This window comes from Homo sapiens, chromosome 8 (assembly GCF_000001405.40).
Source record: "Homo sapiens chromosome 8, GRCh38.p14 Primary Assembly".
In the NCBI taxonomy this organism is placed as follows: Eukaryota; Metazoa; Chordata; class Mammalia; order Primates; family Hominidae; genus Homo; species Homo sapiens.
Window position 1 is genome coordinate 140,942,208 of NC_000008.11, and position 18,501 is coordinate 140,960,708.

Sequence of the window (18,501 nt, forward strand, 5' to 3'; positions counted from 1 at the left end):
TTAAAACATAAATGTACCCTACCATTATAGCTCATTAACTATTAACTAAAAGATGGAGCTGAAGACTGCATAGTTTCATCAATATAAGAAATAGCATTTTTATTTATAACGCTGATAAAACTATTTTTCTCCAGAGCTACAAGAACTTGAGCAACAAATACTAAAATAACTTTTAAACATCTTTTATTTCTGCTAATTATATGACCTTTATAATATACAATCTCATTATACAAAGACAAATATAAAGCCTTTAGGCCACAAATAAATCAGATTACATAAATGAATCAAGGACTTCAAGACTGTTTTCAAAAGCAGTGTCTACACTGAAATCTACTTCACTTCAACTTTGGTGGTACCTAATCCAGACAAATAAATGTTGATCCAGCTGGAAAGAAAATTTGAGCTCTAATGAGTGCGTGCGTGTGTGTGTGTGTGTGTGCGCGCATATATGTGTGCAAGAGTATATGGATAATATCTGTTTGCATATAAGTCACTTTTTCTTCTCTTTAAAGTTTTATTTCTTGAGGCATAACGTGCACAATAAAAACATCAGGTGGATGGTGATAAGGACTGGATCTGTTTCCCAGCCAAATCTCATGTTGAAATGTAGTCCCCAGTGTTGGAAGTGCAGCCTGGTAGGAGGTGTTTGGATCACGGGGGCGTATTCCTCATGAATGGCTTAGTGCCATTCCCTTGGTGACAAGCGAGTTCATGTGAGATCTGGTTGTTTAAAAGTGTATGGCACCTCCCACTCTCTCTCTTGTTCTCTCTTGCCATGTGACGCATCTGCTCCCACTTCACCTTCCATCATGAGTAAAAGCTCTCCGACGCCTCCCTGGAAGCCGGTGCCATGTTTCCTGTACAGCCCGCAGAACAGTGAGCCGATTAAACCTCTTTTCTTTACAAATTACCCAGTCTTGGGTATTTCTTTATACCAACGCAAGAACAGCCTAATACAAGTGGGTCTGTGTAACCACCACCACGCTGAAGACACAGACTATTTCCATCACCCCAAGAAGTGCCCCCATGCTCTTTTATACTCAATTCTCTCTTCCGCCCCAGGCAACCACTGATTTTATTTCTGTTCTTACAGATTTGACTTACCAAAATGTTATATAAATGAAATCACAGTTATATGGAGTTTAGTGTTTTCACTTAGTAGACTGCTTTGAAGATCTGCCCATTTTGTTAGGTGCGTCAGCAGTTAGTTCCTTTTTATTGCTGTATAGGATTCCATTGTATAGGTGTACCAAAATCTGTTTATCCATTTACCAACTGATGGATATTTGAGCTGTCTCCAGTGATTACGAATAAAGCTGCTATAAATGTTCACATAGAGGTCATTGTAAGAAAATGTTTTCATTTCTCTTGAGTAAATATTTAGAAGTAGGACTGCTGGGTTGGGTGACAAGTCTATGTTCAACTTCATAAGAAAGTGCCAAACTGATTTCTTTAGCAATCATAACATTTTGCACTTCCACCAGCAAAGCAGGAGAGTACTAACTGTCTCACATTCTTGTCATGTGGCACTGTCACCTTCTTTTTGGTTTTTAACATCAGCCATTCTAATAGGGTTGCAATGATATCTCGTGTGGTTGTAATTTACATTTCCTAACGACTACTAATGTGGAACATCTTTTTGTGTGCTTACTCTCATTCATATGAAATGGATGAAATGTCTGTCCAAATCTTTTGGCCACTTTTTCATTGAAATTTTTATTGAGACACCTATCTTTTTTAATCAGACAGTTTATCAAAGAAAAAATGCTGAAGTGTTTGTATATTTTGTTAAACCATTTGGAATTCATGAGTACTGGGTAAAAATCTAAACTGCCTACTTGCCACCCCAACTCACAACACTATGATATGCAAAGACGGATTGAAAGAAAAAACACTCATCCCCGTCTCTTCCTTTCTCTGAAGGTAAGATCCTATGCAAAGTTGCCTGCCCACTTTCAGAATCAGGAAATCAAAATTTTCCCTGTTTTGACGAGTATTTTATGAAACTACACTCTTCCCTCAGTATAAGCCAGCAACACAGATGATTAAGAAATTTGCAAGGCTTTGCAGAAATACTGCATTTTAACACGACTGATACATTTTAAAAGGAAGTACAATACTAGAGGGGAAAGGGTCACTGGCAATTCAGTAGGTGGCACTATTCTTCTCTCTGTTAAATGTATGACTCCCAATTGTGCACTGTGGTTAACCTTAAGGCCTAAGCTTTACTGTAAGGAAATGGAGAACTTGATACTGCCACGAGGAATCTTGGACTGTCTTCTTAACTTCTCTAAGCCCAGTTTCTCATCTGTAAAATGAGAATAGTAATCAAAACCTTACTGAGCTGCTGTAAAGAATTAAGATTTGAATTAACACAATGACTGACACATGACAGCGATTACGATTTATGACTATTTCCTTCAGCCGCGACTCCTGAATCACAGTGCAAATAAAGACCAGAAGGATGTGCTCTTCACAAAACTGAGTAAAAAGTCAAAGCTTCAGCCGGCAAGTAATATTTGTGTACAGCGCACCCACTGAACATAACGGCCTGACCATCCATGAGAAGTCCCATGCATTTACACAAAAAGTACTCTAGAGTTTGCAATCATGAAGACCACTTGTGAACCTTATTTCTTAGCATTTTGCTTCAGCATTTCAAACTGAGCAATGCTTCTTTTAGAAAGGTACTCATCTCTTGGTTTTTCAGTATCTCATTATTGTTGGCTTAATTTTCTCTATATAGCTACGCCATATAGACGAAAGTTGTGCTTACATGCCTCAATGACATTTTTCCAACTTCCCTGCTTGCCCTCTCTCCAATTTGGCCAAACACGGAGCAGCTTCTTAAATTTCCTGTTGTCGTTCATCTTGTTCTTGCCTGAAAACTGAAGTGGTACTACAGCACTCATTCCTGCACTGATGAATTGGCTTGGATAGTTAGATGCCAAGATTATTAAGTTTTTGTAACCAATGCGTAAAGATTTTTCCGTAAATCAATATATAAAATCAACAGTTTAAGGTTATCACTTGAATTCAAGTGTTCCTGATATATCCTATGTTCAGGTTTTAGGACATTAATAATTTACCATCAAGGCTGGACACTATGGCTCATGCCTGTAATCCCAGCACTCTGGGATGCCAAGGCAGGAGGATCACTTGAGCCCAGGAGTTTGAGATTAGCCTGGGCAGCATAGTGAGAGCCTTCCTCCACAAAAAATTTTAAAAATTAGCCAGGCACAGTGGTGTGCACCTGTGGTCTCAGCTACTTGGGAGGTTGAGGCAGGAGGATCATTTGAACCCAGGAGTTTAAGGTTACAGTAAGCTATGAACATGCCACTCACTGTACTACAGCCTGGGTGACAAAATGAGACCTTTATTTCTCAAAAAAAAACAAAACAAAAAATATATCAATGTTTAACATTCTGATTGTCACAATTCCCATTTAAACTTTTTTAAAGCTCCTCAGGGCCTGATTGTCACAATTCCCATTTAAACTTTTTTAAAAGCTCTTCAGGGCAAAGTCAATAAGTTAATATACATATAATCTAAGAAGGTAACACAACACAGGCTTTTCAAGTCACCAAAAAATAAAAGATCACTTCCATCTCCATGCTTTTTCTGGCACCATTTTCACTACCTAGAATGCTCTTCCTCAACTCTAGTTTCTCCTTAACACAATTCCCCAAGAAGACATCATCTCCATTCCTCCTCTGTCCTTCCCATCAGTTTTTTCAATCAGTATTTTCTACTCACCTGTCTTACCTGTTCTCGCCTTATTTTTGCTGGTACCACAGGTTTCTCCACCCTGGTACCATTTACAGCAGGTCTAGAGAGCAACCTCTCTAGACTGAAGCAGGGAAAAGGAGAAGGAAAGCTCCAGGAGGGGTGTGTCTAGGGGGTGAAGACAAAATGAATACACTTGACTGCATGGAAACTAATTGAGAGGCCCTACTTACAGAGCTGTCAGAGTAGGAAACCTTAGCCAGACCTAAGAATATTAAGCAAACAAGAGGGACAACTGCAATTTTCAGTCCAAGAAAACAAGAAAAACAAAGCTGAACAAGAAATGCAACCATACTACTTCAATTGGCTCAATACTGAGTTATGTTTAAAAGTCAAAATAATTAAAAACGAAAATACGGATCTAAACAAAAACTGTTCTAGAACTACACGAGGAAGATGGGGGAGAGGAAAGACCACGTAAGAGAGAGAAAATCCCTACCTACCATGATAGGAGTTCAGTATATAACTTTTTCTAAAATTGATGGAGCAATGACTAGTAAACAAATACTATTAGGAAACAAGAATGTAAAAGCTAAAATCAACACCTAAAACAGATTATTTCCGTTGCTTCTGGGAAGCAGATGGAAGACCGGACAGGAGCCTGTGGTTTCCCGCATGAATACACCCATCTCCTTTGTATTTAGCTCAAATCTCACTTTTGCAGTGAGGCTTATTATGACTACCCTATTTAGACCTCAAATTCACTCATACTATGGCATTACTTTTTTCTCATCCCACGTCCCACCTTCCAGTACATTACATAATGTACTCATTTGCTTATTATTTTTTTATTATCTGCTTCCCTACACTATACAGACTCTGTTTGGTCTACTGATACATCTATCTAAAGCAATTAGAACCATGCCAAGCACTTAGTAAAAGTTCAACAAACATTTCCTGAATTGTAAAGTCATAGTTCAAACCAATCTTTGACCAATATTACTAACTCCCACTGTCCTTCCAATAAACAAGCCTGGAAAAAAGTCCATTTCATGATTCAATACAAATATTAGGACAACTTATACCAGACTACACCTGGACTGCTGAGAGCCAGCACCAGACAAAACATCATTAACTAAAAAAATTCGTACATTCTAATTTAACTGTCACCAATCTCAGTTGAACCACAACACTCCTAGGCAAGCCTTCTCCACCCCTGCTTGGCTCTGTCCTCACTATCCCTATTTCAAACCTCCTCCACTATCATCAAATCTCCAACCCCAGCATTGCTTTTTCCACTCCTTCTTAGGAGATGACTTCAAATCCTACTTTAGAGAAATACAGAAGGCATTATAAAAGAACTACCTCAACTATCCCCACATCATCATGCTACAAACAATGTCTCAATAAATATTTGTTCAATAAATGAGGAAACTGAGGATAAGAAAAATAAAATGTTTTGACCAAAGTTCCACAGCTAAAAGTGGCAGCACCAAAGTCTGAACTCGAGCTCATCTAACTCTAAAACTAGCCACACAGCAAACCAACATATCACTCCACCACTTAAAATCCTCACCCTACAGATCAACATGCCACCCCACCTCCTAAAATCCTCAGTGGTTTCAACTTCAAGGTGGTAGAGTAATGAGTTTTATTCCTGTGAAGACTTCAATGAAACTGAAGTATGCAAGTTTTTTTTTTTAAAGGTAAATAAGAGGAAGGGAAGAGCCACCAAAAGATGAGAATTCAACAAATATCTAGCTATTAAAGAGGAGCTACACGCACAGTGATGTGTAAAACAGAGACAAAACTCAAGTGAATCTTGATGAGGCTTTGGGCCTGGCCATGAGGTATTGGGGAGGGCTGATGTTAATAGCCAGGGGTGAAAACAGGGTTTAACTGACTAGTTGTGCCCAGGCTAACTCAGCATTTACCCTCGGACAAAAAATAATAATAATAATAATTTTTTAAAAATCCCAAGGGGCTATTTCTCTAGAAAATAAAGCAAAGGTTTCTGGTATAGGTGTTAACAACCTTACAGTAAAACTCTCCTTTATTTTGTTATTTAGGGGCCCACAGACTAAAAGCATGCTGAAGCAAAGTACTTCAGTTCTGAATTCCTACCAGGGGCTAAATCTAACTCCGAAAAGTAGCTAGTCCTGCTTCCCTATACACTTACAGACAATAAAGGATCATCAGACATACAGGGAATACCACCTTCATGAAAAAGAAACAAATACCGGAGAAAACAAAGAGAAAAACTGGCCTTGAAAGAAAGCTAAGCTGGGAAAGCTCAAGAAAACTTAAAATTAAAAATAATAAACTAGTTTTAGAGTTCAACCCATGAGCAGTCCCCAGAACACTTGTAGTTGCAGATAAAATACAAATGTAAAAATCCCAACATAAAAGAAATAACAAAAACAAAATATGAGGCAGAACAGGGAGACATGCTGGAACTGGGGGGAAGGGTCAATATTTAGGGCAATACTATCTTTATCTTAAAAGGAATCAAGATATTGACATGAATCAATAACCCAAGCAAAGGAAAGATATTGGTAAAATTACAACAGAAGACTTCTAAAAGAAAAATACACATATCAACTATTTAACAATAAGTAATGCAGGAAGAGATATGGGGAATAACATAAATAAGCTAAACCTTTATATCCCAAATCAGAAAATCAACAGGTCATTTAAAACAGAGAAGTCACAAATGATAAAGTTTAACATACAATACAGTCAGCCATCCACGTCAGCGGGTTCCACATCCAGATTCAACCAACCATGGATCTAAAATATTTGAGGAAAAAAATGAATGACTGCATCTATACCAAGCATGTACTGATGCTTTTCTTGTCATTATCCCCCAAATAATACAGTATAACAACTATTTGCAAAGGATTTACATTGTATTCGGCAATATAAGCAATCTAGAGATGATTTAAAGTACAGTTGACCCTTGAACAACATGGATTTGAATGGTACAGGTCCACGTATAGGGGGATTTTTTTTCAATAATAGTTACACTGAGTGTGCCTGCCTCTCCTGCCTCCCCTTCCACTTTTGCCACCCGAGACAGCAAGACCAACCCCTCTTCTTCCTCCTCCTCCTCCTCAGCCTACTCAACATGAAGACAATGAGAATGAAGATGTTTATGAAGATCCACTTCCATTTAATAAGTATATTTTCTTAATATTTCTTAATATTTCTATATTTCTTAATATTTCTTATGATCTTCTTAATATTTTTTCTCTAGTTTACTCTGTTGTAAAAATACAGTATATAATACATATACAAAACGTGTTAATCAACTGTTTATATTCTCAATAAGGCTTCCAGTCTACAGTACTGATAGCAGTGGAAGCCAGTCTGGAGGGGCTGCTGCCAAGACACAGGCTGCAGTGGGGCTGGCAGGAGGTGGGAACAGGTGGAAATCCCAACCCCCTACTGAGTTGGCGGGGCAGGAGCCCCACATTCCCAGGTACAGCTGCAGCCTCCTAGCCTCGGCTCCGGAGCTGGGCATCCCTGCGTTCTTAGGGGTCCGGGAAGCCCCCCCGCCCTCACAGGCTCCTGGCCTCTCCCCAGCCCACTCCAGGGCAGAGCAAAGTTGTGGCTGAGCCTGAGTCTGTCACAACCTGGCCGAGTATGCACATGCTCGAGGCAGCGCTGACACACCAGCCCCCTGCCGCCCTGGCCCACTCCAGACTTTGGGCACTGACAAGCACGGGAGGGAGGCCAAGGGGGAGCTGAGGGTGGCTCAGTGTGGGCCTGCAGGCACACCTCGTCATGAACAGCCTAGGTGCCATGGATGGCTTGTTGATGGTGGGAGAAGGCAGAAAGGCTCCTGGATAGAAAGGGGCAGGTCCCCCATGAAATTCCACCTTCAAGCCAGGGACAGCCTTGAAGCCCGGGAGCCAGGCCACCAGTTACGGGTGGAGTCTACAGCCTGGAGTGAGAACTTATGGTGCTTTTTCCGGGCCTGCCCATGGCCCAATCAGTACGCACTTCCTCCCTTCTGAGCCCATAAAAACCCCAGACTCAGAGAGATGTTAGCACTACCAGCTGCAGGAAGGAGCTACCCACTTTGGGTCTCTTCAACTCACCAGGACAACCTGCCTGTGGAAAGGAGCTACCCACTTTGGGTCTCCTGAGAGCTGTTCTGCTGCTCAATGAAGCCCCTCTCCACCTTGCTCATCCTCCAGTTGTCCATGTACCTCATTCTTCCTGGACACTGGATAAGAACTCGAGACCTGCCAAATGCAGGGACTGAAAGAGCTATAACACAAACAGGACTAAAACACGGCCTCCTGCTTGCCATGTTGTGAGCAACGAGCAGAGGAGAATCCCCGAGCCAGGGCTATGACACCCTCTTTGGGGCTTTGCAGTTCCTGGCATCTCCACTCTTCTGGGCGCCACCTCGTTCCCCTCATCCAGATGCGGGTTTCCACAGCAGAGGCTGCATGCAGTACATCTGGTCCAGCTGCAGCCTTGCACAGAACTGGCACCTGTGCCAGTGCCTGGAGCTGCCCACCCCGCTACAGCAGCTGGCTGTGCAAGGTGGCTGGACCACATGCTCACACACCCACACACCCCTCACAGCTCTGCGCCTGGCTCGCCCTTGGCAGGTGTGGGATCCAGGCTTGTAGTGTGAGCCAAGCACAGCATGCCAAGCCGAGTAGGCGAACAAGCCCAGTGGGCATGGGCAATACTCAGGCAGAAGGTGCCACCAGCCACCGTGATTTCTGGCTGGTGAAGCGGCATCCCAAAGATCCTGTGACACTATTAGTAGTTAGGTTTTGGGGAGTCAAAAGTTATACACAAATTTTCAACTGCAAAGGGGATGGGCACCCCTCACCCCCGCACTGTTCAGGGGTTAACTGTATATGAGAGGACATACATAGGTTATATGCAAATATTGCACTATTTTATATAAGAGACAGGCTCCATAGATTTTGGTATCTTGGGGGAATCCTGGAACCAATCCCCCACAGATATGGAGGGATCACTACATATTAGGAGGTACCTAATAATATAAATAATATATATATTTTTTTAAGTCAACACTCCCAGAACCTCAGAGTCCAATCTATCTCAGCTGTGCTCATCTGCCCATATGCTATAAAAGATGCTTGTATTCACAAATACGAGATTTTGCAGAAGGGTCTCAGGGAGGCCTTCCTTTCTGTCCATCACCTTCCCATGCCACATTAACCCTGAAAATTATCTCCATATATATCCCAGCAACTCAATTCCTCCCAAACTTTCCTTTGCTTGCCTAGAGTTCTGGTTCTAAAATACTTCCTTCCCAAATTTCTGTCTTCCAATGTGTCACTTAAAAACAAGGCAAGGACCAAGAACCAACTCCGCCAAAGCTAGCTGCTTCGCAACCAGATCCATACTGCAGGAGCTCAAATGGCCCAACGGACTTACGAAGGGGAACTCTGTGAAATAAGGGACCTATATCTCAGCATTACATCATGAAATTCAATGGATTGGAAGCCAGACTTACACATATGGACTGACCATCTGTCCAGAATTTGCGGTGGGGGGGAATTACAGGAACACTGGTTATGAGGTTATTTTCCTGGGTTTATATATTTTCAAATGATTTTAAAAGGACAAACCAAGATGGGTAGATTTTGTCCTATAGCTAAAAAGTTCCAATGAGGCCAGGAGCAGTGGCTTATGCCTATAATCCCAGCATTCTGGAAGGCTGAGGTGGGAGAATCATTTGAAGCCAGGAGTTTGAGACCAGCTTGGGAAACAAAGGAAGATTCATCTCTACAAAAAAATTTTTTTAATTAGCCACGCATGGTAGCATGTGCCTATAGTTCCAGCTACTTGGGAGACTGAAATGGGCGCATCATTTGAGCCCAGGAGTTCAGAAGCTACAGTGAGCTATGATCATACCACTGCACTCCAGCCTGGGTGATGGAGCAAGACTCTATCTGCAAAGAAAAATTAAAAAAAAAAAAATTTTTTTTTTTAAGTTCCAATGAGCCAATGAGATGGCTCTTGGGTCACAAATAGCTGGTTTGTCATCTCACCTCTCTTTAGACTTTCGTTTCCCAGCACATTACACTAAGAATGTAAGTTTTGTATTTCTGCTATGGAACTGTCTTGTGCTATACCAAGAGGAAATATTTTTACAGCTAATGTTGCTGAAAAGTTACAGTTGGTATTCTTTCTTTTGCTCAGATCTACTAAGAAAAGAGAACTTATTTTGTGACAGGCGTTAAACAGTCCTAATTCAGCATTTAGTGCAAGTTAACTGCGGGTTAAGCAGAGATGAAATAACAAAACTGCCCTCACACACAGACTCACACCCAAATAAACAGAATGCACTGTTATAGGAAGAAAGGTACAATATGGACGGGGGAAGGAAATAGGGGAACACAAATAGAGGGGCTGTGACCTTCTCACACTGTAACAATCACATCTGGCACAGCACAAGGGACAGAATAGGCTCCTCTCCCTTAGCCTATGAAGGACAGGGGGACACAGGACCCAGACTTCTAGGCCTTGCAAAGAAATGGAAACTGTATGACATAATTTCCCTTCACTAACACCTAGAAATAGATTTGGGGGAGAAAAGAGAACAAAGAAAGATGTGAACTGACACTCATGTGGAAATTAAAAAATAATCCTAGGCCCATACTCCAAAAACACTTGCGAAAGTCAAATTCAATACAGCTATAAATTATCATGAATTCTGACTCCATGAAGTCCAAGTTTATGAGATATGTACTGTAACAACATAAACAAAATGCCCACAAAAGAGATTTATAAATACTCTATGAACCTATCTGTCCTCCATTTACCACCAGACTTAGAAGAAAGAGCAATCTTTGGAAACAAGACAAAGTAGGATTACCCTCAATTGTACGATTTCTAAACTGTGAAACATGCACCAAGATCTACAAGTTACAAACTGACAAATTACAAGTAATATAATCTCTCTAGGGCTCCGTTTTCTGCTAATTAAAATGAGAAAAATGGCACCAAATAATCATTGCTAACAATTTTGAGTGAACACCTTACGCATATCTCACAGCATCTTCGCAATAACCCCATAAGGGAGATTCTATAATAATCCCCTTTGTCAGATTAAAAAAAATTGACTTTCAATAGGTTAAATAATTTGATTAAAATTAAGGAGTTAGGAAATATAATACCTAGCTAAACCAATATCTGAATCTAGAACCCATGAGAATAAGATACAGCTATTCCCACTTATCTGCAGGGGATATGCTCCTAGTCCCCCCCAGTAGATGCCTGAAACTAGGGACAGTACTTGGCGCTATATATACTATGTTTTTCCTATACATACATACCTACAATAAGGTTTAATTTATAAATTAGGGACTGTAAGACATTAACAAGAATAACATAATAAAATAGAACAATTATAACAATATGCCAGCATCACTACTACCCCTCCGTTTGGGGGCCATGATGAAATAAACTAAGGGTTACTTGAACACAAGCACTGTCATTCCTTGACAGCTGACCTAACTCAGATGGCTACTAAGTGACTAACAGGCGGGCAGCATACACAGTGTGGTGGATATGCTGGACAAAGGGACAATTCACATCCCAGGTGGGATAGGGCGGGACAGATCAGGGTGCATGAGATTTCATCAGGCTACTCAGAATGCCGCACAATTTAAAACTTATAAATTGTTTACTTCTGGAATCTTCTATTTAGTATTTCTGGACTGCAGCTAACATTGGGTAACTGAACCTACAAAAAGCAAAACCACAGACTGGGGGGAGGGAGCTGCTCTACCAGTCAAGAGCACAACACTGTGAAGCCAGAATGAATCTGAATCCCAGCTTTGCCATCTACTAATTTAGTAATCTTTTTTTTGAGATGGACTCTTGCTCTGTCACTCAGGCTGGAGTACAGTGGAACGATCCTGGCTCACTGCAGCCTCAAATTCCCGTGATCCAGGCATGCATTACCACACCTGACAATTTTTGTTTTTTGTTTTATTTTCAGAGACAAGGTCTTGTTGTTACCCAGGCTGGTCTGAATTTTTTTTTTTTTTTGAAACAGGGTCTTGCTCTGTCACCCAGGCTGGAGTGCAGTGGCACGATCTCGGCTCACTGTAACCTCCACCTCCTCCTGTGGAGGTTCAAGGAATTCTCCTGCCTCAGCCTCCCGAGTAGCTGGGATTACAACAGCTGGATGCAACATCACGTCTGGCTAATTTTTGTCTGTTTAGCAGAGATGGGGTTTTGCCATGTTGGCCAGGCTGGTCTCGAACTCCTGACCTCAAGTGATCTGCCTGCCTCAACCCCACAAAGTGCTGTGATTACAGGCATGAGCCACCGCACCCAGCCACTTGGTCTCAAACTCCTGAACTCAAGCAATCCTCCTGTCTCGGCCTCCCAAAGTGCTGGGATTACAAGCATGAGCCACTGTGTCCGGCCGTAACTTAGTATCCTTTAACCTCTCTGTATTTTGGTTTATGCAAATGTGAAATAGGGAAGAACAGTAAACCTTGCTTATAAAGTTATTGTGAGGATTCAATTAGTAATTGTAACTCAGAGTGTTTATAATGTACCAGACAGTATTCTAAGCACGTTATTAACCATTATTATACTACCTGTCTCAGAAAAAAATATATAAAGTATCTACACATAATAGGCACTAAACAATTTATATTTCTTCCCTCACCCACTCTGCAAAATCAACTACCTTTTGTTTATTTCTATTGTACATCAAAGAGACACTAAGACAGGTGAAAGAAAAAACAAAACCAAAAATCTCAAGACACAAGTATAGCAAGAGAATTATACTCACAGTTCAGAAGCCCACAATAACTCTGAAGAAATCAAATGACAATTTAAAAAAATACTTCTAATTTCTCTTTCCTCTTTCCATTGCAGTCAGAGAGAACCTGAAAGACTATATATATATATAACCACCATTATTTCACTAGTTTTTTTCAAGGCTTTATTGTACTGTCCACCTTACAGTTAGCTTCTTCACTGCTTACCATACTTACTGTACTGGACCTTGAATGAAGAATAACAAATTTGGAAAAGGCCTGTCTTCAAACCCGTATTTTAGTTGAAGGAAATATACATGAAATAACTAAGAACCATTAAAACATCAACAGGCATAATTAATCTGACACAAAGTTAGCTAACAAATTCAGAGGAAGATGGCAAACAGAATATACACATCTATTTCACTTCCACTAAAATTATACAAAAGACACAGATATGGTTTGGCTGTGTCCCCACTCAAATCTTGAATTGTAGCTCCCATAATTCCCATGTGTTGTGGGAGGGACCTGCTGGGAGGTAACTGAATCATGGGGGCAGGTCTTTCCCGTGTTCTTCTCATGATAGCAAATAAGTCTCACAAGATCTGAGGGTTTTATATAGGGGAGTTCCCCTGCACACACTCTCTCTTGCCTGCTGCCGTGTGTAAGATATGTCTTGCTTCCCCTTCGCTTTCTGCCATGATTGTAAGGTCTCCCCAGCCATGTGGGACTGTGAAGTCAATTGAACCTCTTTCCTTTATAAATTACCCAGTCCCAAGTATGTCTTTATTAGCAGTGTGAGAACAAACTAATACAGACATATTAAAAAGATAAATTTAAAAACCAAACCCACAGGACAGGGAGAAATGAAAGAAAAAGTAACTGAATTTTTGAAGCTATAAGAAAAGCCTCTAACACTGAAGATAGAAACCGAACAAACAGGAAAACAGAAAAACTTGGGGGAAATGAACGATAAAAGATCGGAAGCATAGCAAATGACTCAGCAGGCCCAATGCAGCCAGACCAAGCCAGCAGCCAAAAACACTAAGAACCAATTCCATTTCCACAGCCATGTCGGAAGAAGGTTCAGAACTGGCAGCACTAAATGCAGACAGAACAAGGGGTAAAGAAGGTGGAGGCATAAAGGATGATGGAGGTTAGGTGAAGACTATCTACGATGCAGCTAAAGCCTCAACACCATGCCTTCGTGGGACTCCCCAACCATGACAGAAGACTGGGGGCTCTCTGGAAAAGGAGAGCATCCTTAGACAGAAGTCACCCTGCCCAACTGTACAAAACAGAGGTCGATCTAGTCACTGAACACACATTTCAGCTCCTCCACTACGCCCTATGCACTTTCCTCTCAAACTTCAGATAGTCAGGTCTTTACCCTGCAGGAACCTGATACGTCTAAGAAGAAAGATCTAAAGATACCAATGCTGGGGATTTCCCAACAAATGGGCCATCCAGAATATCCTGATGCAAAAGTCAGAGTCAAAAGGCTGAACCCACTTGCTAAAGCTTCCAAAGAATTTTTTATTCACCACAAGGAAATTAATACCAGACATGTGAGAAAATTCTGTAACACAAAAGACAGAGAACAACACGGGAGGGTGGGGAAGCGGGGAAGGAATAAAAAAGCCACTTGGGGGAAATAATACATTACTCACGCGTTTTAGTGAAGCTGGGGAAAACAGACCTACTGTGCTGCCAGTCGTATAAAAGTCTAGCACATACGATTATGTACAGTACCTAACACTTGATAAACAATTATGTTACTGGCTTATTTATTGTGCACTTTTAATTATCATTGTAGAGTACACGCCTTCTACTTATTTAAAAAGGACAACTGTAAAACAGCTCAGGCAGGTCCTTTGGGAGGTATTCCAGAAGGCACTGTTAACCTAGGCGATAACAGCTCCATGTGTGTTATTGCCCCTAAAGACTTTCCAGTGGGACAAGATACAAAGGTGGAAGATATTGATATTGATGATCCTGACCTTGTGTGGGTCTACCCTAATGTGTGTATTTGTGTCTTCATTTTAACAAAAAAGTTTAAAAACCTTAAATTAGGCTGGGCACCGTGGCTCACACCTGTAATCCCAGCACTTTGGGAGGCTGTGGGTGGATCACCTGAGGTCAGAAGTTCAAGGCCAGCCTGACCAACATGGAGAAACCCTGTCTCTACTAAAAATATAAAATTAGCCGGGCATGGTGACACATGCCTGTAGTCCCAGCTACTTGAGAGGCTGAGGCAGGAGAATCACTTGAACCCAGGAGGCAGAGGTTGCAGTGAGCCGAGATGATGCCATTGCACTCCAGCCTGGGCAACAAGAGCAAAACTCCATCACAAAAACAAACAAACAAACAAATGAAATGATAAATTAAAATTTTAAAAAAATACAGAAAAGCTCATAGAATATGGATATAAAGAAAATATTGGCTAGGTGCAGTGCCTCGCTTCTATCATCTTGGCACTTTGGGAGGCCGAGGCAGATGGATTGCTTGAGTCTAGAAGTTTGAGACCAGCCTGGGCAACATGGTGAAACCCTATCTCTACAGAAAAAATTAGCTGGGCATGGTGGCACACGCATGTAGTCTCAGCTACTTGGGAAGCTGAGGTGGGAGGATCACTTGAGCCCGGGAAGGGGCTCACATTGTACTGCTGTACAATGTGCCTCTGTTGTAAGCTAAGTGTTATTACAAAATAGTCATAAGTTTAAAAACATTTAAAAGTTTATAAAGTTATAGTAAGCTACGGTTATTACTGAAGAAAAATATTTTTTATAAACTTAGTGTACAGCCTAAGTGTACAGTATTTATAAAATCTACAGTAGCGTACAGTGATAATTTAGGCCTTCACATTCACTCACCACACACTCACTGACTCACCCAGAGCAGCGTTCAGTCCTGCAAGCTCCATTCCATTCATGCATGTAAGTGCCCTATACAGGTATATTTTTTAATCTTTTATATCATATTCTTATTGTACCTTTTCTATGTTTAGATACACACACACTTACCACTGTGTTACAACTGCCTACAATATTCTGTACAGTAACATGCTGTACAATTTTGCAGTCTAGGAGCAATAGGCTATACTATATAGCCCAGGCATGCAGTAGGCTACCATCTAAATTTGCTGAGTACACTCTATGACATTTGTACAATGAAATCACCTAATGCATTTCCTGTCGTTAAGCAACTCATATATAAAAATCAAAAACAGAATTACAAAAAGAAAAAGACAAATCCACAGTGATAGATTTTATTTCATTTATCTCTCATGAAATAGCAAAGTCTCTTGTCCATCCTGCTAATGAGTTAACTACCTTTTTCTTGACATGTTACATATTTTTTATGCAAACTGTTAGAACTATGATTTACCAATATCTTCTCCCACTCTGTAATTTGCCTTTCACTCTCCTACTAATTTTTTGTTTTTGAGATAGTGTCTCACTCTGTCACCCAGGCCAGAGTACAGTGGTGTGATCATGCCTCACTGCAGCACCAACCTACTGGGCTCAAGCAATCCTCCTGTCTCAGCCTCCTGAGTAGCTGGGACTAACAGGTCTGTGCCACCATACCCAGCTAATTTCTTTTTTTTAATTTTTTGTAGAGACAGGGTCCCACTATGTTACCCAGGCTGGTCTTGAACTCCTAGACTCAAGCAATCCTCCTGCTGTGGCCTCCCAAAGTGCTGGGATTACAGAAGCCACCATGCCAAGCCTAATAATGTCTTTTGAGGAATATGATGTCCTAACTTTAATGTAGCATAACTCATCGATTTTTCTTTTATGGTTGCTTTTTGTGTCCAGAGATAATAAGATGTTATCCATCATAATCCTCCAAAACTATGCTCTCCAACACAGTACCCACTAGTCACGTGCTAAGGAGCACTTGAAATGTAACTAGGCCACACTGAGACGTAAGTGTAAAATACACACTGAATTGCTAAAACTATAGTATCCTTGCCCCCCAAAATAAAATATACTAATAATGTTTAAATTACTTGCACATTAAAATGTATTTGAGCATTACTGGGTTAAATACAAAATATTAATTTATCTGTTTTTCCTAAATTTAGCTTCTAGAAAAATTTAAAATCACATGTGGCTCACAATATATTTCTATTAAACACCGTTATACCAGTTTTATTTAATCTTTTCATATCTATAAATCCACTTGAAATTATTTTTTATTGTGTGAAGCAAATTATTATTTTTCCCTATATGGATACTCAAATGACCCAGCACCATTTATTGAAAAAGTGTCTCTTCCCCGTTGCTCTACAATGTCAATTTGTCACAGATCAATTGTCACAAAAGAATATATACAGTATAATTCTATTCCTATAAAGTTTAAAACTATACAAAAGCTAATCCTAATGTTTAAAGACACATAATAGGGAGTAAAATTTTTTTTTTAATGGAAATGACTGTCACAGAAGTCAAGATGATGGAAAAGGGAGTAAAAGGCTGGCAATAATTTTTTACCTGAATGTGGTTACACACACATATATTTTTTAAACAAAAGTAGGCCGGGCGCAGTGGCTCACGCCTGTAATCCCAGCACTTTGGGAGGCCAAGGAGGGCGGATCATGAGGTCAGGAGATTGAGACCATCCTGGCTAACACAGTGAAACCCCGTCTCTACTAAAAATACAAAAAAAAAAAAAAATTAGCCACGCATGGTGGCGGGTGCCTGTAGTCCCAGCCACTTGGGAGGCTGAGGTAAGAGAATGGCGTGAACCCAGGAGGCGGAGCTTGCAGTGAGCGGAGATCACGACACTGCACTCCAGCCTGGGCGACACAGCAAGACTCTGTCTCAAAAAAAAAAAAAAAAAAAAGTAGTGTAAGAGTGATCCGTTCCCCTCAGAAATGGTGGACTTTTATATATAATCTATATACTTATATCTACGTTTTTGATTTTCAAAAAGATATATGAGTATCACCAAGGGATAAAGAAGGCCTAAATGGATCTTTTACAATCTTACCTGTGGCCCACGTATAGCAGCTCATGCCTGTAATTCTAGCACTTTGGGAGGCCAAGGTTGGAGGACAGCCTGAGCCCAGGAGTTCAAGACCAGCCTGGGCAACACAGAGAGACTCCCCCTTGCCTGCCCCCCACCACCCTCCTTTTCCAACAAAAAATAAATTAGCTGGGCATGGTGGCACATGCCTTTGGTCCTCGCTACTTGAAAGGCTGAGGTGGGAGGATCTGCTTGAGCCTGTGAGGTCAAGGCTGCAATGAGCCTGGTCACACCACTGCACTCCACACTGGGCAAACAGTGAGACTCTGTCTCAAAAAGAAAAAAAAAAAAATCCAACAACAACAAAAAAAACCTACCTGTGGTTATCCCTGAGAGATACAATTCACCAGCAATTATTTTTTGTATACAGTATTTTTTTAAATGTTCTACAATGAACATATATTGTATTAGAAGGAAAAAAACACATTGTAAATGCAATTTTAAACTTTTTTTTTTTTTTTTTTTTTTTTTTTTTGAGACGGAGTCTCACTCTGTCACCCAGGCTGGAGCGCAATGGCACGATCTCGGCTCACTGCAACCTCCACCTCCCAGGTTCAAGCAATTCTCCTGCTCAGCCTCCCAAGTAGCTGGCATGCGCTACATGATTACAGGCATGCACCACCACATCCAGCTAATTTTTGTATTTTTAGTAGAGACGGGGTTTCACCATGTTGGCCAGGCTGGTCTCAAATTCCTGACCTCAAATGATACGCCCACCTCGGCCTCCCAGTGTTGGGATTACAGGTATGAGCCACCGCGGCTGGCCCATTTTAACCCTTAAAAAAAGAATAAGTAATCAAGGCAAGATAAACTAGGATGAATCCATCAATGGTTTTACACCAGGCTGTAAAGAAAGCATGATCTCATACTGAATGACTTATCAGGTGAACTACCAAAATTGTTCATTGCCACATACAGAATCAACACTTCACAAATCTTGTATTTAACGTATCATATAGGCTGGGCG

General features: G+C 40.9%; 1 protein-coding gene across 175 annotated transcripts in view, besides 3 other annotated features; it reads right to left on the reverse strand.

Moving 5' to 3' along the window:
- Window positions 1–18,501, reverse strand: part of PTK2 (protein tyrosine kinase 2) — a 344,180-nt gene that overhangs the window by 284,308 nt on the left and 41,371 nt on the right. For 56 of the 175 annotated variants that reach the window (NM_001352735.2, XM_047422054.1, XM_047422052.1 and 53 more), the window contains one exon: window positions 6,459–6,516. The exons of the other annotated variants lie outside the window; for them this stretch is intronic. Coding sequence is in view for 25 of the 56 variants with exons in the window: in XM_047422045.1 (XP_047278001.1) it covers window positions 6,459–6,494 (36 nt within the window). In the remaining 31 variants the exon portion in view is untranslated. The remainder of the gene's footprint in view (window positions 1–6,458; window positions 6,517–18,501) is intronic. 175 annotated transcript variants of the gene reach the window in all.
- Window positions 6,837–7,825: an enhancer, noted in NCBI's record as "H3K4me1 hESC enhancer chr8:141959143-141960131 (GRCh37/hg19 assembly coordinates)". NCBI's record gives its function as "activates a minimal SCP1, AML or CMV promoter by ChIP-STARR-seq in primed H9 embryonic stem cells {active_cell/tissue: H9 hESC(primed)}" and the evidence as "EXISTENCE:reporter gene assay evidence [ECO:0000049][PMID:30033119]".
- Window positions 7,263–7,557: a silencer, noted in NCBI's record as "tiled region #1764; K562 Repressive non-DNase unmatched - State 7:EnhWF". NCBI's record gives its function as "represses a minimal TATA promoter and a strong SV40 promoter by Sharpr-MPRA in K562 cells {active_cell/tissue: K562}" and the evidence as "EXISTENCE:reporter gene assay evidence [ECO:0000049][PMID:27701403]".
- Window positions 12,950–13,029: an enhancer, noted in NCBI's record as "active region_28038". NCBI's record gives its function as "activates an Ori minimal core promoter by ATAC-STARR-seq in GM12878 lymphoblastoid cells {active_cell/tissue: GM12878}" and the evidence as "EXISTENCE:reporter gene assay evidence [ECO:0000049][PMID:35858748]".